Genomic DNA, 26,475 nt, shown 5'->3' with positions numbered 1-26,475 from the left:
GGTTCCCCAGGACTCACATGACTAATAATAAACCACTGGTTGACATCTATGGACTACTTCATCCAACAACAGCAGAATATACTTTCTTTTCAAATCCACCTGCCTCAACCTCCCAAAGTGCTGGGATTACAGGTGTGAGCCACCACGTCCAACCTTTTCTCATTATTTTAACCGGCCTACCTGCTGCTACTTTTTGCTTCAATCATCAATATCTATCTTGGAATCATGGCTCTGCACCTCAGACCACAATTTTTAAATCTTTGATCTCATTGTCACCTTTGGATTCTGATCTACTATCTACACATTCCTGATCCCAGCACCATAACTGTGTGGGTTTCATTTTGATTCCGGCCTTGGTTACGCCCCCTGGTTGTTCCCCTAGTCCTGGCTGACACCTACATTTCCTTTAGTTCAAGGTGAGGCTGAAGTCCTTGTTTTCAGCCTTTCAGAATGTACTCTGTAAATGTGGAGGCTGTAGGTGGACTAGATTTAGGGGCTGAGTGTTTACAGACGAAAATGTTAAACTTTGAAAGCAGAACTAAGACTTGCCAGGGAAGACTGACTTCTCTGAAGAGAATGAAAAGATTCCCCAGGTAGAATGTTTCAGAAAGGAATAATTAAGTTAGTTCTGAAATAGAAGTAGTGTATAGGAAGATGAGTATAGGGCTGCCTGACTCAGTGAGGATGGACAGGAAAGAGAAGTTCATGGGCAGGGTCTCTAATTGGCCTTGAGCCAATCAAGGGTTACTTCAGTACTTATTTAAACTACAATTTAGTTGATGTGGGTATAAAGTCAAATTTGGGTAGGGACGTGCATCCATAGTGGATTTGCTTGTGAAATGATTAAAGTCTTCCCTATAATTAAGAGAAAGAAGGGTGTATGTTGGATATAAAAATGACAGCCTCGGCCGGACGTGGTGGATCACACCTGTAATCCCAGCACTTTGGGAGGCTGAGGAGGGTGGATCACCTGAGGTCAGGAGTTTGAGACCTGCCTAGCCAACATAGTGAAACCCCATCTCTACTAAAAATACAAAAATTAGCCAGGTGTGGTGGCACATGCCTATAATCCTAGCTACTCAGGAGGCTGAGGCAGGAGAATCGCTTGAACCTGGGAGGTGGAGGTTGCAGTGAGCCGAGATCATGCCACTGCACTCCAGCCTGGGTGAAAGAGTGAGACTCCATCTCAAAAAAAAAAAAAAAAAAAAAAAAAAAGCCTGGTTATGTTAGACTCCAAAATGACAAATGTGTACATTTTCGTTTAGGGAAAATGATTATTCTCTTCGTCTCATGGCGTCCTGGACAGGAGGCATCTCATTTAAATGTTAACCAAGGCAGAGGGGGGTCTTCCTGCAGTAATTTACGTCTGAAAGTAACACTCGGTAGAGGTGTAGTTGTTTCAAATTAAAAATTCAGCCTGTAGAAAAGGGTAGGACTGACGAATTATGACATCTGACAAATTAGCAGTTGACCGGATATTTAAGAAATCAGATAAAATAAATGGAAGTGGAATTTTTCAAATAAATGACTCATTTTTTAATTAGGTAAAAAGTTCAGCCACTCTTGGGTACTGTCCCAAGGCATAAGTGATAGGAAGATACCATCTTCAAGGTACTTACAGGCCATTACCGACCTGAACTAAAAATCAAACCTTTTTTTTTTTTTTTCTGGTGGTATTTTAATGATTCACTGTTTTCTTTAGCAGGAATATAGATTTAAAAATGTATTCTTTAAAAGTTTTAAGGCAAGGTCATACGAATTTCTCAGGGGAGGGAAACAGACAAAATAAATCCAAACCATCCTTGTTTCTCTGAAGTTATGTACCTGTAATTCACAAATTTAGCTACGTGCTATATGAATCAATGTATATTATCAGCATATATCAGCTTTTTGTGTAATTAAATGTCTGACTTACTGTACAAAACCGTGCTTCCTTTTGTCCTAAAGACACTCTTTCTCCTTTCCAACATCCACTCAATCAAAACCTGCACATTTGTTTCTTAAAAAAATGTTTTAATATAGAAAATTTTCAATATGTTCAAAATGAGAAAAGAATAGTAAAATCAACCCCCATAAACCCATTAGCCAGCTTTAAGGAATAGCTATGGCTCTAAGAGTCTATGAGTTTCTCATCTGACCCTCTTCCTGTGTGTGTAAGCTGACTTTATCCATGTGTATCCTATCTCCTTTGAACAAACCAAGCTGGGTTACACTCCAAATGTAAGGTTCTGTAGCTAATTTTATCAATGACTGGACAGTGTTCTTTTCTTACCATCCAGAGAATGTTTGCATCAAGACTCAGTTATTTAATCACGCACTTCACTACAGAAGAGAAAGGGGATCTTGGATGTCTAAACTAAACCCAAACTCAAATCTACCAGAAGTAGCTGGTAGTACATTCGTCTGTTCACTGGTCTAAGTTCACACATGACTGGGCTTTTATAATTATTTCTAACTCAACTTCCCAATCTAAATCACAGAACTTTTTCTGCTAATGTACTCGGATCTACCCCTTAGTCTTCCATTGAAAAATAACTTGCCGGAGCTACCTAATTTCTGCCTATCAAATTCTCTATCTGATGTGCTGCCTTTTGTAAGTATTATACCATCACCCCAATCCTGGAGCCAGCTACTGAGAGCAGCTTCTGAAAACCTCTCCTGTTTCAACACAGCATTTCTCTCAGAACTGCAAATAAAGTTCACAACATTTCTCCCCAGTCAGTGTCTGCAGCCCAACACTCCAATGTTAGACCCAGCAGCCCTGCCGGGTGTTGAAGTATCTCACAGACCCATCTCTGTTGGGCCACACTGCAATACCTGTTAGGCTGAGGACACTAAATCAAGATATGGTTTCAAAGAGGACTTGTGCTTTTTTGTTGCTACTTCTGCCCTGAAGACCAAGTGTAAGGAGATATTCTCTTATAGCCTGATTTATGTTCATTTACAGAGCTGTCTTTGTGGGGGAATACAGTAACATCCAGACTGCTGAGCAACTGTGTGTTAAACATTCAAAATGGAATCAATTGTATAGTCAAGAATTAACAGGAACTTACAAGTCTGCATTATTTGACCCTTCTCCTGAACTTTATTTTGGCATTGTGCTATAAGCTGGTGTCATGGAAAACTATCAAACTACCCAAGGACTTGACATCCTATTTCCTTGTGAGTGTACTGCTGATGATGCTGTCCACGGCACTACCATGCTTTTTAGGATGAGCCACTGGAGAAAGTATCCTCAGCTCTGACCATCAAGAAAAATCATTCTTCTGAGTTACTAGCCGATCGTACCCCACGGCGCTGGCTGTCTTTAATGGCAAGCTCTCTGTACTGACTACAACGATTTCGAGGCAAATCATGACCTACCTCTAACAAGAGTAACGGACTGCATTGCACACACTTTGAGAATTATATTAAGCTCTATTTTGTGTCTCATATCCTTATTTTGCTATTCTCCGATTTATTTAATTTATCTTATTTTATTTCACGTATTGTGTGAGCAGCCCCAAGTCCTTTTCGGAGCAATGGGAAGTGTAACTAAGATGTAAGTATACTGATAAGGTGTCATAATAAGCTCTGAGGACACAAAACTGGATAGAGCCATCTCTGCTACAATAGAGGGACGTTCACACGGACATCTAAAGCATAAAGCAGTGTCACATAAACAGTCCAATGTGCCATTATTTCAAGGGGGAGATGCTACCATTCCAAGGTGACTGAGAAAACTTTTGAGCTGGGTTTTGAGAGATAAATAGGTATTTCACAGGTAGAAAAAAGAAGGACTGTCTCTAAGAAGAGAAGACAGAAGAACTAGGAAAGCAGAGTGAGGCAAATTTACACAATGGTGAGTTCCAGCTGAGAAGACACACGCAGCGGGGTCAAGAGTCGTGCAGCCGAGACGGCAGCCCTGCAGCAGACGGCCTTCACCATTATCATCCACAGATCCTCGCTGGGTAAGAGGCTAGGCCCGAAACCACAGAGCATAAAACTATAATGAGGCGTGAGCTTCGCTCTCAAGGGCTGTACCACCCATGGTGCAGTGACAGGAAGCACAGGAAGTTATAACCACATGTACACTTGTAATGAGAGTTTTACAAATAGGGCTTAGGATAGAAGAGTTAAGGTCAGCTCTTTCTAGAAGGGAGGATTTGAGCTGGCCTTAAAAGCAGGACTAAGACAAGCAGAAGGTAAGGATGACTGTGTTATAAGTAGAGACATTAGCCAGAGTTTTGGGGTAGGGGAATGATATTATAATAGTTTCACTGGAAGACAGGGTTCATGAAAATGTGGGCTAATTAGAGGATTTTGATTTAGTGTAATATTATGATTTATATTATCACAAGGAAGGGCTTTATTCTGCTTTGTTTAAAACAAAGGATGAAAAGAACACAGAGTAAAATTATAAATGTATTAAGTGGTATTTCTGAAAGACGAAACTGCTAATTATCATGAGGGATGAATGGGAATGGGAGAGATGTGGGGCCATTTGGGAGGTGCAGTGATAAACGAAGCCCAGATTAAGATGGTAGCCTTGGGACTGGAGAGAAAATGCATAGAAAACAGTAAGAGCCAAGGGAGGAGGAATTCCCATGCTCCACTGACTCATCCCAGAAGACAGAGGAGGAGACAGCTTGCTACCGAGACAGGCAGGCTGCTTACTGCTTTGAGGAGGATTCTGAGGCTACGTCCAGACCCTGCAGGAAATTATACCCTATTAGATTACTAATGCTTATGATGAACAAGGCATGAGGGCAGGGTGACTCATGCTACACAGCTGCCACCTCTGTGCTAAGGAATGGAGAAGAGGTGAGTTTCAAATGAACCTGCAATGTAGGCACTAAACTAGGCAGATGAGGTCACGGAGATGTGACAAGGACAAAGGCAAGGCATTCTAATTCAGAGTTCTTGACATCACGTCTACTACAGGAATGCCCTAAATGCTTGCTAAAGAAATGAAACAACGATTTCAGTTTGATCTGCAAAATTTGTTTGCCCTTTGATTTGAAACACTGACCACATCATGCAGCTAAAAATACTCCTCAATTTGGGATAATGTTTCAATAAGCCCATCATAAACTGAATGTGTGGGTTTTTTTTTTTGTTTTTTTTTTGAGACGGAGTCTCTCTCTGTCACCCAGGCTGGAGTGCAGCAGTGCAATCTTGGCTCACTGCAACCTCCGACTTCCAGGTTCAAGTGATTCTCCTGCCTCAGCCTCTGGAGTAGCTGGGATTACAGGTGCCTGCTAACACGCCCGGCTAATTTTTGTATTTTTAGTAGAGACGGGGTTTCGCCATGTTGGCCAGGCTGGTCTTGAACTCTTGGTCTCAGGTGATCTGCCTGCCTTGGCCTCCCAAAGTTCTGGGATTACAGGTGTGAGCCACTGCGCCCGGACCTGAATGTGTGACAGTATTTTCAATGTACGATGAGTTTATTGAAAGTATCATAAATGCCTATTGTTTTCATGCCATTTTAAAGTCAAAAAAATCATTAAGGTGAGCCATTCTAAGCAGGAGACTGTTTGCAGTTGCTTTGGTCAAATAAGAAAAATTAAGAGCCTAGCACAGGGCCAGGCACACACAGTGGGCATTCAATTCTTTTTAAAATGACCACGTGAAGGAATGGTCTCTGCTTTGAAGATGCTCCCCTTCAAGCCTCACTAAGTGAATGGAGGCCATCACCTTCTATATTTTAATATAGACTATTTTTTGATACATTCCCAACCTGTTCCTGGGCCAGCAATCATGCATGGGGTTACTTGCCTATTAAACAAGCCATTTCTCCTATCCCTTGCTCAGCTCGAAACCAGTTTGAAATCTCATCCTTGAATATTTGTGTGCAAGGTTCCCAAAGTCCTCCTGGTGCCCCAGTGCAATAGGCTAATTGATCGCCTCACATATCAGTTGAGCACAAATGCCCTTGATCACGAGGCTCTCTGAAGGCTGGAGAGAACGCTTCCAAACAGAGTGGAATCCTGACGGACAGTCCCCTCCCCACTCCGAGGTTCGGAGGGCTCTCTCTTCAGTTTCACGTCACTGAGGGCTGCCAGCTTTTAGGTGGCGAGAGGGAGATGCCATGAGGGAAATTCCCCTTCAGCCAGTTTTCCAGAAATAGCCTTTAATGTTTAAATTGGTTTTAACTAGGGAAAAGATATGCCTTAAGAAAAATTCATAAGTAGGTTCTAAAACTTCGAACACAAAAAATATTTGACTTACATGATAAACTGGAAACCTCTACGAATTTCAGTCTAGGCCAGGTATTAGCAGTAAAGCTGGTTTTCTAACCAAATTAGTGGTATAAAAGGATTAGCCAGATAAAAAACTTTTTTTTGGCCTCTCAAAGGAGTTTATTTCATCAAGAACAGCTTCAGTGTAACATATATAGTGTTCTAGTCCAGAGAAAGACACGGGACTGATATTACACATTTTTGCACTTAAAAAAAATCACTTAGGTAGTGCCTTCTATGGCATTTAATATGCTAATTATAAATGATTCTCGTACACTATGATTCAACTTAATTAGGCAAAAATTTTTAAACTTTAAAAATTGTGTTCTCAAGGTAATTAAATCCCACTTAAAATCATGTACAATGATTCTAACTTTTACTAACCTTTTTTTCTCCTGATTTTTCATAATCAGTGGGTTTTTGAAAATAATTATGGTTGGGTTACAATGTGTCTTTTACATTTACCACATAAATGATAAAAACTAAAACCTATTTAAAAGTATTTGTTTTTTAGCAGCTGTGTTTCTTTCTTACAATAAGTAATCAAGCACCTACTGTGTGCCAGGCTATGGCCCGGGCACCCACGCTCCCCCTGAGCTTCAATTCTGTGGGCTTTCCCAGAGATGGCGAATGGAGGTGGCAAGTGTGAGCCCAGAGCAGGGAAGGGCACGAGGAACCCATGCACCAGACAGACAGCATTCCAACAGAAGGAGCCAAACGGCAAGTTTACAAATAAGAATAAAACTGCATTTTAGGAAACACTCCTTTTGCAGAAAATTGGAAAAGTATTTGCTTTCCCGAACATTTTACTTCATAAGCACAACAATTAAAAAACTCAGAGTTTCATGAGTTCAATGTAGAAACAGTGCTTATGTAAATAATAACTAGAATCAGTAACTTACTAAAAAAAACTAATATTTGACTTTTGTGAGTGAAGGCAGATGCAACGTGGGTTTACTGAGCTATAACTCTTCTTCACGGGAGAAAATCTTGTTTTGGTTCTTAAATTCAGGTTAATCAGTGGCTTAGATTTAAGTAACACAAGCATTGTTTAAAAGCTTGATTTCTCGTAAAATGTAACTGCTGTTAAAGGCAGTTTATTTGTGCTGTCATTGCTGACGGATGAAGCTTCCTCAAATAGAGAAATGATTTACATAGAAGGTATACTTTTGCTTTAACTGATCGAGTTAGGTAAATGTCAGATTCAAGACTCATTGACAAAGTCAATCGGCAGCATTTATTCAGTGCCTAAAATATCAGGCAGCTGATTGTATCCAAGAAAGAAACAATGGAACATGAGAATCATAGTTGATTATTTCTCCAATTTAGCACCTTACTTTGGTTTGGAAAAGATGAACATTAGAATTAACGTCCCATCTTTCCTATAAAACTGAAAAAGTAATTTATAATGCTTTTTTTTTCTTTCTTCCTTTTAAAGGAGACAGGGTCTCACTACATTGCCCTAGCTGGTCCCGAACTCCTGGGCTCAAGTGACCCTCCTGCCTCAGGCTTCTGAGTAGCTGGGACTATAGGTACACACCACTACACCCAGCTATCATGTTTATTTTAAATCTAACTATATTCACATAGAACACGAGTTCCCTAAGGCCAATCTCATACCTAGTATATAGCAATTTAAATGAAAAAAGCAAAAACTGCTTCATTAATCTATCTGATGAAATAACAGACTTCCCACTTAACTCATTTCAAGGAAAGTCAAGTCATTTACTTGGCTCTGCTGCCCATATAGGTAAATTGAGTTCTGAATCAACAACTGGGAAGGCACCTTATATTACTGAAAAAATGTCTTCACCGAATTGACCCCTTCTGAATCACAGGAGGGTGAGCGTTTTGTGTGTGTGTGTGTGTGTGTGTGTGTGTGTGTGTGTGTGTGTGTGTGTGTGAATCAGGCCCTTTAAAGGAACATTTAGCTTGGAAATAAAGTCATAAAAACTGAAGGGTAATTTTGAAATGAGTTTTTAAATTAAAAAAATTATGTGTACTCATAAGAACGTGCAGCAGTCATCACTGCTGAGCAATTATGTGCCCTGATTTAAGCACTTTACATGTATTGTTTATTCACAAATATCCTATGGGATAGGCATTATCATTCTATTTAAAAAAATAAAAATAAAATAAAATGACAGAGACAGAAGTAACTCGCCAAGGGTGAGATAGCTGTCAATGGTGGAGCTGAGATCCGAGTGCAGGCAGCCTGGCCAGGCTCTGTAATCACCACACGGTAAAGACACTGTATGTGCCGACACTGAGGACTCTGTACTTAAGTTTTTACTAAAACCTAGAGATCTTTTTCATAAAATCCACGGCTGAGCCAGTTCCCTCCCATCTTGTGAGCATAAAATTGTTTTAAAAACCTAAAGGAAAGCTTTATACTCAACCCTTTAATAATTCATAGAGGCGGCTGAGTGTCAGCAGCAACTCCCAAAATTAAACACGGAAAAGAAGCCTTCAAAAGATAACAGAAAAATAAGGATTAAAAAAATACTATTTTTGATAATGCTATCAAAAATAATCATTAAGCACAATAAAGTCAAAACAAGAGAAGCTTTCTGCATTCAGATGTAAGAACCAATGTGTTTTAGAAACTTTTCTTCTCGGCCGCACGTGACGACTCACGCCTGTAATCTCAGCACTTTGGGAGGCCAAGGCGGGCGAATCACCTGAGGTCCGGAGTTTGAGACCAGCCTGGCCAACACAGCGAAACCCTGTCTCTACTAAAAATACAAAAATTAGCCGGGAATGGTGGCGAGCGGCTGTAATCCCAGCTACTTGGGAGGCTGAGGCAGGAGAATCACTTGAACCCAGGAAGCGGAGGTTGCAGTGAGCCGAGATGGCACAACTGCACTCCAGCCTGGGCAAGAGAGCAAGACGCCTTCTCAAAAAAAAAAAAAAAAAAAAAAAAGAGCTTTTCTTCTCTATTGTTCTCCCAGTTACAACTGAAGTTCACAACAGGAGCAAAACTGAAGGCAACTCATTTGTGTCTTAAAAACGCAATTATTTCCAATGTGAAATTATCACCTGAATTACAGATGACCTGAATTACAGATGACCTAGCAGGAATATTCTATGTAGCCCTGGGGAAGCGGAGGGGTGTAGAGAAATGCTATAAACTGCAGGGCCTCTCCAGAGTACAGCCCTGTGGTCTTCAGCCAGAGGCTACTATCCAGATCAAAGTTCCTGTAAGGCACAACCTGTGGACTGTGAGTGGCAAAGTAACAGCTTCCAGGAGCCTTTTGTTTCTAGGGAAGCAGCTTCTTCTAGTGAGTGCAAGGAATTTAACAGTGAGAAGGCATAAAAGGAAAAAAAAAATAACATTATTAACGCCTAAAAAGTGCGAGGGAAAAACTTACGGAGGTATTTACTAAACAAAGATGTCTGTGAACTATCTACTTCAAAAAGACAAAACATGGTTCTCAGAGTTCTAATGAAAATGGTACCATTTAGATTTGGAAGTAGAGACGCATAACATATGCTTGCAGTTCGCATGTGGAAATAATCAGCCTGACTGATTTTCAATGAAATCTCACTTACATTTAAAGCAGCTTCTCCACACTTTTCAATGGCTGCAAGACCCTGATTATGAATGTGTGTCTCCAACAGTTTTTTCAATTCTCCTAGGCCATCCTGGATTCTAGATACAAGATTATACATGCGTCCCAAATCTGAAAGAGGAAGAAACCCCTTTTATGCACTGAAAAAAATTTTGCATATCCATTCTACTAATTATGTATTTATACTGAGATGAAAAATACTCTGCAAAAGATAACCATGTTTTTAGACTTTAATAATCAATAGCATTTAATTATAACCAAATATTCTCTATTTGGTATATGTATATTTTGCTAAAAGTAACAATGAAATTGTTACTATTTACTATAAATTTACTATTGTAAATTTATTTTCCCCCTTACTGTGAGAAACCACTAACTTAAGACTAAGCAAAAAAAAAAAATTATCAGAAACAACTCTAATGCTTCCTAAAATTCTCAAGATTGAAATAGTATTTATGCCTGACACATAATAGGCACTCAAATATTTGTTTAAAAATAATGAATACATTTAAGGAGAATATGGATTTCTATCTCAATTATAAAAACAAATGAGTTGAGAAAAGGTCTCCCAAATTGATTTAAGACGTGTATACAGCATGTGGTTACTTTAGGAGGACCATAGAAGAAAAATCCAAACTTCAATCTTTTATTGAGCTCCTAACATGCCCCAGTAAAACATGGGAGTGGTTAAGGGAAATATAAGATGACAGTCTCCTCATCTCAGAGAATTTTCAAAGGAAGAACAGTCAAGAAAAAACTTGGGGTAGCATCATTTAATGCTAAAGTGTATGGAGCAAGTCATATTCTAAATACACTCTTCCCCCTAAGTCAAACCAAAATGCTCTGCAGAAGTCTGAAATTGGCACATAACGATGTACAAACACATGCATCTTTTTAAAACTGACATGGGCAAGTAATGCCGTTGACTCGAGAGTCTAGAATCAAAAGCAATATCAAAACTACAGATAATTATAAATACCTACATTTTATGAGTCTTGTGGCTCACCTTCATTTTTGTCAGCATCCAATAAATTCTGAAATTCTGTGTGGAAAATTTCCAAGTGTTTTTCAATGAGGACTTGTTCACATTTCCTTGCTAATTCATCTTGTGTGCTTTCATGAAGGTAAACCTGAACTCTTCGTTGTTCCTCAAGCAGACGAGCCTCTGCCTGGAGAAAATTAATTCAAGTGAATGGTTTTGATTCATTGGTAAAGAACTGTTACAATTCTTTAATATGTAAATTAAAGGAAACTGAAAAATGGCAAATTAAATTCACATGCCAGCTCTAATAAAATGCGATTAAGAAAATAAGGGAGGGCTGGGCATGATGGCTCAGCCACTTTGGGTGGCTGAAGCAGGAGGATTGCTCGAGGCCAGGATTTTGAGACCAGCCTGGGCAACACAGTGCGACCCTGTCTCTAAAAAAAAAATTAGCCAGGTGTGGCACGCGCCTGTAGTCCTTCCTAGCTACTCAGGAGGCTGAGGCGGGAGGATGGCTTGAGCCTAGGAGTTAAAGGACATAGTAAGCTATGATTGTGCCACTGCATTTCAGCCTGGGCAACAGAGCAAGACTCCGTTTCTCAAAAAACAGAAAGAAAAAGGAAAAAGTTCTTTGATTTTACGGTAAACAACAACCATATTTAAACAGCCACTGATGTCTGCCATTTTCTCTGTAATACGTATTTCCATTTCAAACTTCCTTTTTAAGTGCCCTAACAACATCATCGTTATTAACAGTTAACATGTCTTTACATCATTTTGATCCCTCAGAGAATGGTATTTTATCTTTTTGAGGTAATGTCTCTGCCACTCTAAGAAATGAATGCATCTTCTGTGCAGATACTAAGATGTGGTACTTTAGATTAAAAACTACTTGAAGCCAAGAGTCACACAAATATAAGCCCTGAAGTGATTACATGGAAATCATCATCAGAAATCAGACTGTTCAAAAATTTAGAGAGAAACTATTAAATTATCAAAGCAAGGAAGAAATTTCAATAAATTATTCAGGTGATCTGAGTAAAGAGAATTATATTTTGCATTATAAAAATGCCAATACTCTCCAAAATGATTTTTGTTTTAAATATATTTTTTTCAGAGACAGGATCTTGGCTCTGTCTCCCAGGCTGAAGTGCAGTGGCACAATCATAGCTCACTGCAGCCTCAAACTCCTGGGCTCAAGTGATCCTCCTGCCTCAGCCTCCCTGTGCAGCTGGGACTACAGGTGCATGCCGCCATACCCGGCTAACTTTTTAATTTTTTCTAGAGACAAGGTCTCACTATGTTGCTCAGGCTGGTCTCAAACTCCTGGCTTCAAGCAATTCTCCTGCCTCGGCTTCCCAAAGTTCTGGGATTATAGGCTGTCCAGCTACCGTGCCTTGCCCAGATTTTCAAATTTGGTATAATTTTGGAGAAATCTGGAAAAATTCAACTGGTAATGAATCAATACTCAAGAGCCAAGAAAAAATAAAATGAAAAAATGATTAGGCGGGACTTGTACTATCAAGAACTAATAATAATGGGACAACTGTTTAAACCACGTAAGTCAGAACCTTATTACACGTTCTAAATAGCTAAATGTGAAAAATAAACTTGGAAAATATCTGCAGTATGTATCAAAAGGTCAATATTCTTAATACATAATGATCTCCAGCAAAGCAGTGAGTACAACCAAATAAAAACACAAGGAAGAAAAGACAACTCATAAATGAAGAAATAGAAAAAAGCTTGAAGTTAATACATTTCCAATAAGAGGCAGTTATTATATGTTCAGTTAATGAACTATGATTACCCACTAAAATAAACACCAACTACTAATAACAAATCATTAGTGAACAAGTTACGAAAAACCTATACCATGATTCCAATGTGGTTTATATAATCAGCAACAGTGCCCCAGGCTTGTAGGTTTATGTTATTTGTATTTTCCAAAAAGTCTACAGTTAATGTGTAATTTTGTTTTTCTGATTATAAAGATATTTTAAAACAATAAATGCTGCTTTATATCTAATGTTCCACTAAGACTGATAACTCAAGAACCTAAAGCTGGTGGAATATAGAACATGCAAACCAAACAGCACCACTTTTTCTGTTTTAAGTTATAACTCTTTCTTGGAAGAACATAATCATCTCAGGCAGCAAAACATAGTTTTACCCCTTCCGAGATGAAAGATTAGGCTTTGATGCCATTCCTGATTCATCCTCTGAGAGGCACGGCTCTCCACCTCTTAGTCTACAGACCCTTCCTGCAGGGGCTGAGGGGGCAGGAAGAGTGAACAGGTGCCTAGGTGATTACAGAAACATTCATGGCCAAGGGGCCTCAACACTAGCTTATTTTATATATTGGCAAGGAAACCAAGGTCGTAGGTATTGTCATCAGGTTTCAGAAAGGACAGCCATTTAGGTTCTCTAATGATTCCAAGTCAAATAGGCTCCTGATCATCACTGTACTTGGCAGACTGTTGTATTAGAACACCAAGGTCAAATTCAAATGACTAAATAAAAGTATGCAATTAAAGATGGTCTTTATTAATTCACTAGGATCGGTTCTCAGTAAAAACAAAAGGAAAATAAAAACCAAAAAAGACAAGCAAATTAATGAAGTATGGTATATTTTTAAAGTTTTTAAAAAATGACATTAGAAACCTACAGTAGTCATACAGAGTTTCTGTAGCTCAGATCAGTCTCAATCGCATGAGACAGTCAAATCTTTTAGAAACACTAACATGGTTCACTCTTCAAAGCCATCCTTGGAAAGACAAGCCAAATATTCTTAGATGTTTCCTGTAAAACACTCCTAATAGAGAAAAGTGAACACAGACCCAGGGAATTTGAACTGCTCTCAACTGGCTAGAATTTGCAGAGTATTTCTTGAAGGGTCATGTTTTATCTCATAGTTGTTCTATTTCCTGATAGAATGTTTGTTGTAATGTAAACACAATTGCTCCCTAAGTTATTGAGTAAGATTTGCCACCCTTTATCCTGTGGTTTTGCATCCTCCCAGGCATACACTGGAGGTTTTGTGGGATGTATATTTGTAATACCAAATACATTAGCTTTGCTCTTTGCCACACACCAATCTAAGCACCTTTTAACAAATAAATACCTCATGTTAAAATTTGTAAATACTAAAGCTCACTTAATCCTCATTATTACCTATTATTATTATTCACATTTTACAGATAAGGAATTTGAGGAACAGAAGCATTAAGGTCATCCCCCTAATAAATGGTGGGGTGGGGATTTAAAAATAGACTCATAGCTCAGTTTGAGATGCAAGGCTATAGGATGAGAGCAGAATTACATGGTCAAATTCCAGTTTTATGCTTATAGACTCTCTGCATTATCATCTTTCAGAATATGATGGAAGTCGTGTTTGGTGTGATCCAAGTGGATCCGGGCCAAACCTTTAACTCTTCTAGAAATGAATCCCCTCTATGGGAACCAGGATGTAGGAAGCACACTGCTTCCTTGAAGGCGGGCCTCATGCTGGATTGAAAACATCGAGGCCATTGGAAATTCTTGCTCCTCAACCGTCTTTGGTGTCAGGCCTGGTTTTATTTTTATTTTTATTTTTTTTTTTGAGACAGAGTCTCACTCTGTTGCCCAGGCTGGAGTGCAATGGCGCGATCTCGGCTCACTGCAACCTCCGCCTCCCAGGTTCAAGTGATTCTCCTGCCTCAGCTTCCCAAGTAGCTGGGATAACAGGCGTCCGCCACCACACTTGGCTAATTTTTGTATTTTTATTAGAGAGAGGGTTTCACCATGCTGGCCAGGCTGGTCTCGAACTCCCGACCTCAGGCAATCTGCCCACCTCGGCCTCCCAAAGTGCTAGGATCACAGGCGTGAGCCACCGCGCCCGGCCTAGGCCTGGTTTTAAAAACAGATTTACCTGTTCTGGGAGTGCTTCAGTAGCTCTGCCCTAGAACACTGGTTTCCTTGCCCTAGAGCACTACTACTTCATCAGTGTGGACAAAGGAGATGACCACAATCCTCTAATAAACCCATAAAAAGAACAGGCTCGCGCCACTGTCGTGGATGTGCATCTGGATAAGAGGTCTTTGGGATATATAGTTTTAAAAGAATCACCATATACAGCAGAGTTTCATAAGAGAAGTGTTTAGGAATACAACACTGTCATATTAAACAATGAAATAACAGGCAATGTTAACGTTTAAAACAGACTGTTTCAAAAGTTCATTTGTTAGGCAGTTGTTTGAAACTCTGGGTGAGCTGGTTAGGTTCCAGATTGGCATAGGAAAGTCAATTTAGCCCACCATTATACACAAGGAACCATTAATATTCCAAGTATAATACCCCGAATAGTTCCATTTTTGTTAGATTTTGAGATAGCAGAGATTTGTCAAGGACTTTCAACTTCAAACTTCTAAGCCCATTTATAACCACTATCTCCTATAGGAAAATGCATTCAGGTCACCACAAACAAACCGGATAGGACTTTCTCTATGAGGTTAGAGCAGAGCTGTTGCTTTTAATTGACTTTCTATCTCAGCATACGGAAAAGAGATTCCGCAGTCCATTCATACTCCAAGTGAACAGGGAATACAGGGCAAGCAGGTGTCAGGCTTGGAAAGATCCAGACTCCTGGAGATCTCCTAGTACAAGGATCCTCAATCGCTGGCTGTGGGCCAGTATGGGTCTGTGGCCTGTTAGGAACTGGGCCGCACAACAGGAGGTGACCAGCATATGAGTGAGCATTACTACCTGAGCTCCGCCTCCTGTCAGATCAGGGACGGCATTAGATTCTCATAGGAGCTCGAACCCTACTGTGAACTACACACGTGAGGGATCTATGTTGCACGCTCCTTTGATCTGAGGTGGAACAGTTTCGTCCCAAAACCATCCCCCTTCTTCCCCCAGCCACCGTCTGTGATGCCAAAAGGGTTGGGGACCATTGTCCTAGTACAGCTAGGTCAAGGGTCAGCAAACTGTAGCCTGTAGGCCAAATTCTGCCTGCCTGCCTTTTTCTGTAAATAAAGTTTTATTGGAACCCGGCCACACTCAGTTGTGTACATATCCCACTGGCTGCTTTGTGCTGCAATGGCAGAGTTGAACAGCTGCAAAAGAGATCACATAGCTCACAAAGCCTAAAGTATTTCCTTTCTAGCCCTTTACAAGATAAGTTTGCTGACTCCAGACCTAGGTCATTCCTTAGAGTCTAAATCCAGGATATCCATATTTCTTTTTCTTTTTCTTTTGAGACAGAGTCTCACTCTGTCACCCAGGCTGGAGGGCAGTGGCACAATCTCGGCTCACTGCAACCTCCGCCTCCCAGGTTCAAGCGATTCTCCTGCTTCAGCCTCCTGAATAGCTGGGATTACAGGCACGTGCCACCATGCCCAGATAAATTTTTTTGTATTTTTAGTAGAAACGGGGTTTCACCATGTTGGTCAGGCTGGTCTCAAACTCCTGACTTCAGGTGATCCACCCACCTTGGCCTCCCAAAGTGCTGGGATTACAGGCATGAGCCACCACGCCCAGCCAGGATATCTATATTTCTAAGAAAGAGAACAAAGAGTAATTCTACTAGATCTTTATTATCAGCGGGCCATGGTTACTCACATCTGTAATCCCAGCACTTTCGGAGGCCCAGGTGGCAGGATCACTTAAGCCCAAGAGTTTGAGACCAACCTGGGCAACCTATCTCTACAAAAATAGCGAGACCCTATCTCTACAAAAATAAAACAATTAGCTGAGTGTGGTGGCTCACGCCTCTAATCCCATTACTTCTGGAGGCTGAAGCGGGAGGACAGCCGTCCTCTCATATTAGAATTTAAAGCCTAGTTTCAGAAGAACTTTTCCTCTAATATAATCATGAAAGCTATGTAATAGATTCTTAGGGATATTTTAGAAGCAAAAAATTAAAGTTTGCAAATCTGAAAATATTTGTTTCTTAAAATTTTCTCATTGACATGACTGTGATGCCCATTTTATATAAATCCACATTCTACAATAAACAGTTAAAAAAAATTCATGTAGCTATTGTGGTTATATCCTTAGAACAGCAAGGAGAACTCTCAGTCACGATTACCAAATTAATTTATAGAAGCTCCTTGGAGAATTAGGAGAAGCACTTGCACCTGATAAAAACACTCTAGAAAAACAATGCCCAACAAATGACTTGTAAAGAAAGCTGTATATGCTAAAAAGAACTCACTTGAGTAGCAATGACTTTAACTTAAGTCTACTTAAAGTACTATATTTAAGCTTACCTTTTTCATATATTCAGTAACTGGGTTCTGCTGCAAGAATTCAGTACTCTCTCTGGTATAAAATCTCTCTGTGTCAGCCAAAAATTGAGATTCAAAGGATTCTTTATACACTGTTAACGTAGGGCCCTTTGCAAATGCATCATCTTCATTCAGCCCCAATTCCACTAGAAATGAATATGAGCTATATTTCAATTACCCTATTTTTTTGGTTATATTTCACAGAATATACTTAGGTGTAGCATTCAGTTTAAGTTATGTTTAAAAGGTAAATGTGAAATGGCAGGACATAAGTAACTCTTACTCACTAGTATTAAAGTACACTCTTTCAATAAAATAAAAAAGGAAAAAAATCCAAGACGTATAAAAAGCAAGTAATTCTGACCCATGGCCAGGTATGCTTCAAAATTATGAAGTTCCTTTAGAGAACTTTTGTATTTCCAAAAGCAATAAAAATAACTAATTTTAAATTTGCAAAGAAATACAATGCTACCCAAGTTTTTAAGACATTGTATTACTTTATCAGTTTCTCAATCTCAATTTTTCAAGCTGATATAGATTTCTGGTTATCATTGAGCTCACACTCTAACATATCCAGTAATTCACTATGAGACCAGAAAAGAAAATAATCAAAATGTCTATTTCATCAAAATTTCCTTAAGGCACACGGATCAAACAGCTTTTATGATGGATAAAAACAAATAAAGTCACACTGACTTAAAAAGAAATGTAAGTACCTTCGTAAATGCTAACAATATCCTTTATAATATTAAAATATTTTAAAAATGACATCTGTTAGAGCATTGTTGTAATTGCCATTTGATGTGAAAACTTTGAATAAACTAAAGGGAAATTATTTACCGTAAGACTGTACAACTCCACTAATCAATCTTGTATTGATGGTTTCACCATTCCTTTCCTTTTCAATCAGCTTTAAAACAGCATTTGTTACCTTTAGAAAGGATGTAGAAAAATATTACACAGGTTATAGAATATGATATATATTACTACATATCCCTTAAACATTCACAGCCACTAAACAATGTAAGATGGGATAATCCGAAGGAGTGACGAGACAAAAGCTAAGCAACGAAACTGCGAAGGGATTTTAAAAGGAACATGCACACGCTCACACCAGTAGGTACCTGTTTATTCAGTGGCCTGAACAGACAGTCTCTCCAAGTCACCAATGCAAGCTGGAGAAAAAAAAGTACAAAATGTCTATACTTTTACCATGTTTTTCCAAGATTGAAGTCATAGGAAATAACCTAAATCTCAAATTACTTTATCAAAATTTCTAGATTACAAGTTGGTCAAAATCTGCTATCAGGACAAAAGCAGAAAGCCACTCTCTAGAGTCAACAACTTCAAGAGGTATCCAAGCACAGACATTTGTCAGCTCAACTTCTTTATTTACATTTTCTTTAACTGTTGTTGGAAACAGTATAGGAAAAGTTTAAAAACCGTAATGATTTTTAGGAGTCTGTGATGTTACTGTAAGGTACACATTTAGGTCAAGCAGGTTTCCAAAAGGAAATGAACCAAGACCATCCTGATTCCTACACTAACAACTTTTGAGTCTCAAGAAAGCATTTATATGTGAAAAAGAAAAAATCCCATTAGCCATTCCACAATATACACATATTTCAAAAAGGCATGGTGTACACATTTTTGTCAGTTAAAAAAATAAATAAAATGTTAAAGGGGAAGCACAAAAACCCCAAATCAAACAACTAAACCTAGAAAGTTTTGTTAGAACTGGATTAACTACATAGCAAAGTATCATTATGAAGCAATAACAATTTTGGTATAGAAACTGGAGCTATACAGACAATAAAAACTAGTCATGCATCTGGGATACATTATGCTTTTCTTTTTTTCTTGAGACATGATCTCACTCTGTCACTCAAGGTAGAGTCCAGTGGTACCACCATGGCTCACTGAACCCTCCACCTCCTGGGCTCAAGTGATGCTTCCACCTCAGCCTCATGTGTGGCTGGGACTATAGGTGCGTCACCATGCCTGGATATTTTTTTTGTAGGTCTCATTATGCTGCCCAGGCTGGTCTCCTGCCTCGGTCTCCCAAAGTGCTAGGATTACAAGCATGAGCCACTGCAACCAGCATTGTTTTTCTTTTAAATTTGTCAAAAGTGAAGCTACAAAGTACTGCTATTATAGCAACATTCTTGGATATGGTGATTAACTCCTTTATGTAGAATCTGACATTTTAACAAAACTAGTTTTAAAGGGCATTGTCTGTGTGGATCTGACAGCCTATGAACAGACTGTTCTGAGTCCTCCCTTAACTGCTCTAGAACACTGGTTCTCAAACTGGAGCATGCATCAGAATTGTCTGGAGAGCTTGGTAAAACATTGCTGGGCCCCATCTCCAGAGTTTCTCTTTAAGTCTAGGATGAGGCCTGAGAATGTGCATTTCTAACAAGTCCCCAGGTGATGCTGACAGAGCAGGTTTGGGGACCTGATATGGTTTGGCTATGTCCCCACCCAAATCTCATCTTGAACTATAGCTCCCGTAATTCCCACATGTTGCGGGAGGCACCCAGTGGGAGACAACTGAATCATGGGGGTGGTTCCCCCATACTGTTCTCATAGTAGTGAATAGTCTCACGAGATCTGATGGTTTTATAAGGGGTTTCCGCTTTTGCTTGGCTCTCATTCTGTCTTGCCTGCCGCCATCTAAGATGTGCCTTCTGCCATGGTTGTGAGGCCTTCCCAGCCACGTGGAACTGTTGAGCCCATTACACTTCCTTTGCTTTATAAATTACCCAGTCTCAGGTAGGTCTTTATCAGCAGTATGAAAACAGACTAATACAGGACCATACTTTGAAAACCAATGGACCAAAAAAACCCCTTTCATTGACTGAAGAAACGTATATTACTGAGGGTGATTTAGTAATTAATTAATTCAGGGTCCTCTCCATGAAGCAGCGTTTCCCAGACTCTAAAGCATGGGAGGGCTAATCCTCAGGGCTCGCCCTCAGGTATGGCACCTGATTTGCCTGGGACTACCAGGACTCAGGACTTTCAGTGCGAAAACTCAGGCAGTTCCAGGCAAACTGTGATGGTAGGGTCAGGTAATTAAAGAAGAAATTTTTAAAAAGCAAATGCAGAAATGGGCAAATTGTATTTTAGAACTCCAATTTACCCATTCTTCTACTTTCTTGCTAAAAAATATTTAAGTGACATTTATTGATAAAACAATGAAAATTAGTTTACTATTCTGAAAAAAGCTTAATATTTGCCTAGATTCTCTTGCTGAAAGACAATTTGCCATTAAAAAAAACAAAAACAAAAACAAATTTAAAACGTTTTAAAACAAAACTCTTACCGAATAGATTTCATATATTCCTTTTCGTCCTTCGTCACATTCACGGCGAACCCAATGTCTATTGAGGTAGGCACAAATTCCATTCAGCACTTTGCTTGAAAATCGATAATCTTCCCATTGTTGAGTGTAGAATTTCAGTACACTCTCATCCATCAAATCTTCTCCATCCTAAAAACAAGTTAACTAAAGCTTTAAGATGACTAATTTGTCACATTATAAATTAAAAATAACGGTGAATAACATCTACTGTATTAAAATACATTGACACATGTGATTTTAGATGGCTTCTTTAAATTATTCTGTATACAAAAACATGCTAATATATATAAACTCACAAGAATATAGTAAAATAATTCTTTCATCTCAAATTAAACTGGAACATTTTTCATGGTATTAAATATGCAAACACACTCAAAAAAAGTACCCTGAACATTTGATATGCGGGTAATTCCTTTTTATTAAGAAATATACCACAAAATCATCTGTATTTTTGATATTTGTTTAAAAAAAAATTGGCTGGGTACAGTGGCTCACACCTCTAATCTCAGCACTTTGGGAGGCCGAGGTGGGCAGATCACTTGAGGTCAGGAGTTCAAGACCAGCCTGGCCAACATGGTGAAACCCTGTCTCTACTAAAAATACAAAAATTAGCCGGGGCGTGGTGGCACATGCCTGTAGTCCCAGCTACTTGGGAGGCTGAGGCAGGGGACTCGCTTGAACCCAGGAGGCGGAGGTTGCAGTGAGCCAAGATCGCACCACTGCACTCTAGCCTGGGCGACAGAGCAAGACTCCGCCGCACCCCTTCCCAAAAAAAAAAGAAATCAACATGTCCTACTTAGCAATTCAGACAATGAGACTAATACTATTCAATTTTTACATGCATCTTCTTCCTTCTTTAAATTTACTTAAAAACCATAAAAACACTTTTTTGTGGTGATCTGTAAAAATAAGGTAAGTACAATAGTATAACAATATTTCAAGAAAATGTGCATTTACGAAAATTATTTTTATCCAGATTTCCACAACTTGAGTCACAAATTTTTATTTGAAGGAGACTAACCGGAATTTTTTTTCTTAGGGATTAATGGCATCTACAAAGTAAACCTTACCCTTTAAAAACGTTAATGGTACTGTATGGCAGCACTGCCATTTAGGTGTGTGCAGCAGAGAAGCACGAAAGAGGAAGGTGGGGGCAGGAGGGCTGCAGGAAGGGCTGGGGCGAGCCCACTGGCTTCTCTGAGCCTCAGTGTCTTCAATGAAAACTAAATGGCTACAACAGACTGGAAGCTCCACATGTATAAGGTACACGAGTGACCAAACAAGCCATGTAAAAACCGGATCATCTCTTGAGACAAATAATTTTTTGTTCATTTAAATTTAAATAATATGAAATGAACTTTAAAATGTAAAGCTAAGCTATTTTGGATGATGGTACTTGACCTTTTTAAAATGCAAAAATATCACTGATGGCATGGTCATCAACCTTTTTACTTAGCACAATATACTGTTTCTTACTTTAGTACTAAAGAATAATTAATTAATTACAACATTCACTTTATGATGTGTTGTGAATAAAAAGAACAGTGGCTTCAGCAAGACCTTAGAAACACCATTTGGGGAAGATGAAAATAATACACTAGTCACAACTTATGGCCAGCCAACTACATACAGTCTGTTAGCAAGATGTTTTAAAGTTTTCAATTAGCTTGCAAAAATAAATTAGGTAAAACAATTTTGCAGCATGCAGAATTTTTGCACATTGTGTAAATAAAAAATATTTAAAATATATACACAGAAGAGTTCCTGCAAATTTCCCTGGGGTCACAGTATAGACGTCTTCACTCTTTGACAGTGTAGAACCAGATGAAGGACCCACTTGCTCATCTTGTGGCTAGATACAAGGAGTCACACTGCCTTTGCTACAAAGGATGAAGACCAAGGAAGAAAAGGCGGGAGATGAAGGGGAAAAGACTCCACCACACTGCCCAACCAAAGGCTTGGAGTGGGAGGGACCTACGCTAGAAGGAAATGGATATTCACAGTGAAACTCATCGTAGTCACGAGCACAATTTCACAGCAGTTTTGAAATACACGTCATGGCCAGGCACTGTGGCTCACACCTGTAATCCCAACACTTCGGGAGGTGGAGGTGGAGGACTGCTTGAGCCCAGGAGTTGGAGACCAGCCTGGGCAACATAAAGAGACCCTGATTCTACAAAAGATTTAAAAATTAGCTGGGAGCTGGGTATGGTGGTACATGCCAGTAGTCCTAGCTACTCAGAAGGCTAAGGCGGGAGGATTGTTTGATCCCAGGAGTTGGAGGCTGCAATGACCTATGATTGCACTACTGCACTCCAGCCTGGGTGACAGAACAAGACCCTGTCTTAAAAAAAAAAAAGGAAAAGAAAAAAAGTACTTCATAACCATGTGTAAAGAGCAAGATCACATTTGAAAAACATGGTTTCCAAGACTGAATAACCTTACAATTATTTCTACACCTTGATAGGGAACACCACATTGGGTTCACAGTAAAATGCAGATAATTTGAATACATATTTGCTTTAAATGAAAAAGTTCATCATTTCTAACAACCAAATCCAAAATGGTTGGTAATTTAACGAAAGCACTATTATGCTAAAAGGTTATCAAAGCTTTCTAATTTTAAAAAACAGAAAGAGCTGGGCACGGTGGTGAGCATTTGCAGAGTCTCAGCTACTCAGGAGGCCGAAGTGGAAGGATCACTTGAGCCCAGGAGATCAAAAATCCAGCCTGGGCAACATAGTGAGATCTCCATCTCGAAAAAACAAAACCCTAGAATATAGTTTATGGTGATTTCATATTCACAGTAGGTAAAAGACTATGCAATAGCAAAACACTGTCACCTACGTTAGTGTCTAAAACAGTAACAGATGACAGTGAAAGATTTAACAAGTTAGAACCATTATTTCACTTTTTTTATATCCTGTTATGAATACTCAGTATATATATAAAACATCTTACCTTAAGAAGATTTGTCAAGTAATTCTTCAAAAATTCCTTAAGTCGTTTATATAATTCCAGGCCAACAAACTGAGCTCCTCCAGGTGTCTGCCCCTTTTTCGACTTAGAAGGAGGAACTCCAGCTCCTCGTGCTTGGTTTGACTGGTGAACACTAGTACAGTAGTTATAAACATGACTTGGAGAAAAGTTAAGGAAACCAACATATATCACAGACGTTAACGGTCATTAACATAAACATATTTTCTTATATTTCATTACCAATGCATTCCCAATATATCAACCAAAACCTGTTAAAAACTAGAATGGAACAAAGATCCCATTCACACTATCCATAAAGCTAAAAGTCAACAAGCCCCATTCACAAGGTTGTTGGTAGGCCTTGAGAGCAACACCGCCAAGGTGGAGAAGGGAACATTCCAGGAGGGAGGTTGCCTATAAAAAAATCTGGACCTTTTAGATTATCTGATGTGACTGACCTTGTGGAAAACTGTCCCAAAAGAAAAATGCAATTACTGACTCCAGGAAAAACAAAAAGCTAACAATAAGCACTGTCTATTATGATGCTCAGCTGTAACTTTTTCAGAGGCACAGATTCTAAATATTGAAATAACACAAACTTTATTTTAAAATGACTCAGAGAGCCAAGTCCTTATATTACAATAGTCATAGCCATCTAAAACTTATCAGTGAACGGCAGCAGTGTCCACACACTCCTGAGAAAGAGAGAGATGTATAAACCACAGCACAGACAGCTGATTGCAAAACAGCTGCATCTGCAGGGGGAGCGCAGAGAATGAGAAGATGGGGCCAGGCAGGGCAGAAAACCACCGTGTTCTGTTGTATCCTTTAAATATGATGAGCTTATCTGCATGTATTATTAATTGAATAAAATGAACGGAAAGATACTTATACTCAGAAAGATCAACAAAACAGAACAAAACAATATTCTGGTATAATTAAGAATTTACTATATAAAGATACTTCAAGACAACGGGTAAAAGATAGATTATCTAATAAATGGCATGAGGGCAAGATATTTCTAAATATTCCATGTTATATTCCAAAATATATTACAAATGGATTAAGATTTAAAATATACAAGCTAAAACAGTAAAACCAAGAATATATATGTGAACGCTTATCTGTTCTCAGGCTGGAGCGGCCCTTTCTAAGTAAGATCACACAAAAAAATGAATTCAGGCTGGGCGCGGTGGCTCGCGCCTGTAATCCCAGCACTCTGGGAGGCCGAGACAGGTGGATCACAAGGTCAGGAGATTGAGACCATCCTGGCTAACACGGTGAAACCCCATCTCTACTAAAAACACACACAAAAAATTAGCCGGGCGTGGTGGCAGGCGCCTGTAGTCCCAGCTACTCGGGAGGCTGAGGCAGGAGAATGGCATGAACCCGGGAGGCGGAGCTTGCAGCGAGCTGAGATCATGCCACTGCACTCCAGCCTGGGCGACAGAGCAAGACTCTGTCTCAAAAAATAAATAAATAAATTCAAAATTGTAGATTAAGATGAAATACCTTAAACTATCTTTAATAAATTAAGGTAATTTAAAGCAATTAAAAAAATGAATCTCTATGGAAACATGAACAAAATATACCACAGAAAATCTAAAAGGTAAAATAAATATATACTAATGCCCCCAAACCTAATAAAATAACCAATCTAGGTAATAATCAAAGAACTATACTTTAAAACAATGAAAAATTATTAACTATTTCAATTGTATAGAGAATCACAGATTACAATAAACAACTACTGTATACTCATGACCCAGTTTTGATAGATCTTACTGCATTCCCACACTTGTCTCATATTCCACCTACAGCCTCCCTCAACTTTTGAGAAAATAAAATATTACAGGTTATAAGTGAAGCACTATATTCTCCCTCTTTCATCCCACTCCTTCCTCTTACCCTAGCAAATAGCACCATGATTTGGTATATATCATTCCTATGTTTTTATATTTTGCTGGATAAATGTGTATCAAATATATTTCACATGTTCTACATTTTGTTTTGTTTTTTTTGAGATGGAGTTTCACTCTTGTTGCCCAGACTGGAGTGCAATGGCGTGATCTCAGCTCACAACCTCTACCTCCTGGGTTCAAGCGATTCTCCTGCCTCAGCCTCCCGAGTAGCTGTGGTTACAGGCAGGCGCCACCACGCCTGGCTAATTTTGTATGTTTAGTAGACATGAGGTTTCTCCATGTAGGTCAGGCTGGTCTCAAACTCCCAACTTCAGGCTATCCAGCCTCCTCGGCCTCCCAAACTGCTGGGATTACAGGCGTGAGCCACCGCGTCTGGCCATGTTCTACATTTTTAAATTATACAAACTGTAATATGTACATTTGCTCTGCCATTTGTTTTTGATGGTATCTGACATAGCCGCAGCTGTAATATACTGTGTAACGCACATTTACAATACTTCATCAACTCTCTTGGTGGTGGACCTTGCTAATAGTCCTTTTGGCAGATACCTATTTTTTGTGTATTTACAAAGCTGCAAAGAATAAAACTAGCAGGTCTCCTTGAGTACAAGTTTCTTGGAGCACAGAAATACTAAGTGACAAAGTGACAAGAGAGGTTTTTTTTTTTTTTTTTTTTGAGACAGAGTCTCACTCTGTCTCCCAGGCTGTAGTGCAGTGATGTAATCTCGGCTCACTGCAACCTCTGCCTCCCGGGATCAAGCGATTCTCCTGAGTAGATGTGATTACGGGCGCCTGCCACCATTCCTGGCTAATTTTTGTATTTTTAGTAGAGACAGGGTTTCACCATATTGGTCAGGTTGGTCTTGAACTCCTGACCTCAGGCAATCCACCTGCCTCGACCTCCCAAAGTTGCTAGGATTACAGATGTGAGCCACCTTGCCAGGCCCTTTTAAACAATTTTTTGTAGAGATGGGGTCTTGCTATGTTGCCCTGGCTGGTCCAAAATTCTTGGGCTCAAGCAATCCTCCTGTTTGGCCTCCCAAAGTGGTGGGTTTAACTTTATTAAGAGTTGCCAACTTAGTGCTACAAAGCGGCTATCCAGCACCCTGTAGTGCATGAGTTTTCATCGACCACAACCTTGGCCTTGCATTCATACTGTGGTT

General features: G+C 39.3%; 1 protein-coding gene across 6 annotated transcripts in view, besides 2 other annotated features; it reads right to left on the bottom strand.

Annotated features, from left to right (window-relative positions):
* Window positions 1–26,475, bottom strand: part of CUL1 (cullin 1) — a 103,355-nt gene that overhangs the window by 23,588 nt on the left and 53,292 nt on the right. For all 6 annotated transcript variants that reach the window (NM_001370660.1, NM_001370661.1, NM_001370662.1 and 3 more), the window contains exons 3-9: window positions 23,373–23,547; window positions 20,373–20,540; window positions 18,169–18,219; window positions 17,885–17,975; window positions 17,027–17,190; window positions 10,800–10,962; window positions 9,774–9,904 (exon numbers count right to left, since the gene is read on the bottom strand). In NM_001370660.1, coding sequence (NP_001357589.1) covers window positions 9,774–9,904; window positions 10,800–10,962; window positions 17,027–17,190; window positions 17,885–17,975; window positions 18,169–18,219; window positions 20,373–20,540; window positions 23,373–23,547 — 943 coding nt within the window. The remainder of the gene's footprint in view (window positions 1–9,773; window positions 9,905–10,799; window positions 10,963–17,026; window positions 17,191–17,884; window positions 17,976–18,168; window positions 18,220–20,372; window positions 20,541–23,372; window positions 23,548–26,475) is intronic.
* Window positions 3,802–3,851: an enhancer, noted in NCBI's record as "active region_26801". NCBI's record gives its function as "activates an Ori minimal core promoter by ATAC-STARR-seq in GM12878 lymphoblastoid cells {active_cell/tissue: GM12878}" and the evidence as "EXISTENCE:reporter gene assay evidence [ECO:0000049][PMID:35858748]".
* Window positions 4,172–5,371: an enhancer, noted in NCBI's record as "CDK7 strongly-dependent group 2 enhancer chr7:148469244-148470443 (GRCh37/hg19 assembly coordinates)". NCBI's record gives its function as "activates an origin of replication core promoter dependent on BRD2, BRD4, P300/CBP, MED14 and CDK7 cofactors, with strong dependence on CDK7, by STARR-seq in HCT116 cells {active_cell/tissue: HCT116}" and the evidence as "EXISTENCE:reporter gene assay evidence [ECO:0000049][PMID:35650434]".

This window comes from Homo sapiens, chromosome 7, assembly GCF_000001405.40.
Source record: "Homo sapiens chromosome 7, GRCh38.p14 Primary Assembly".
NCBI lineage: Eukaryota > Metazoa > Chordata > Mammalia > Primates > Hominidae > Homo > Homo sapiens.
The sequence above is the reverse complement of the archived record's forward strand: the minus strand, read 5'-3'. Positions and strand labels throughout refer to the sequence as shown.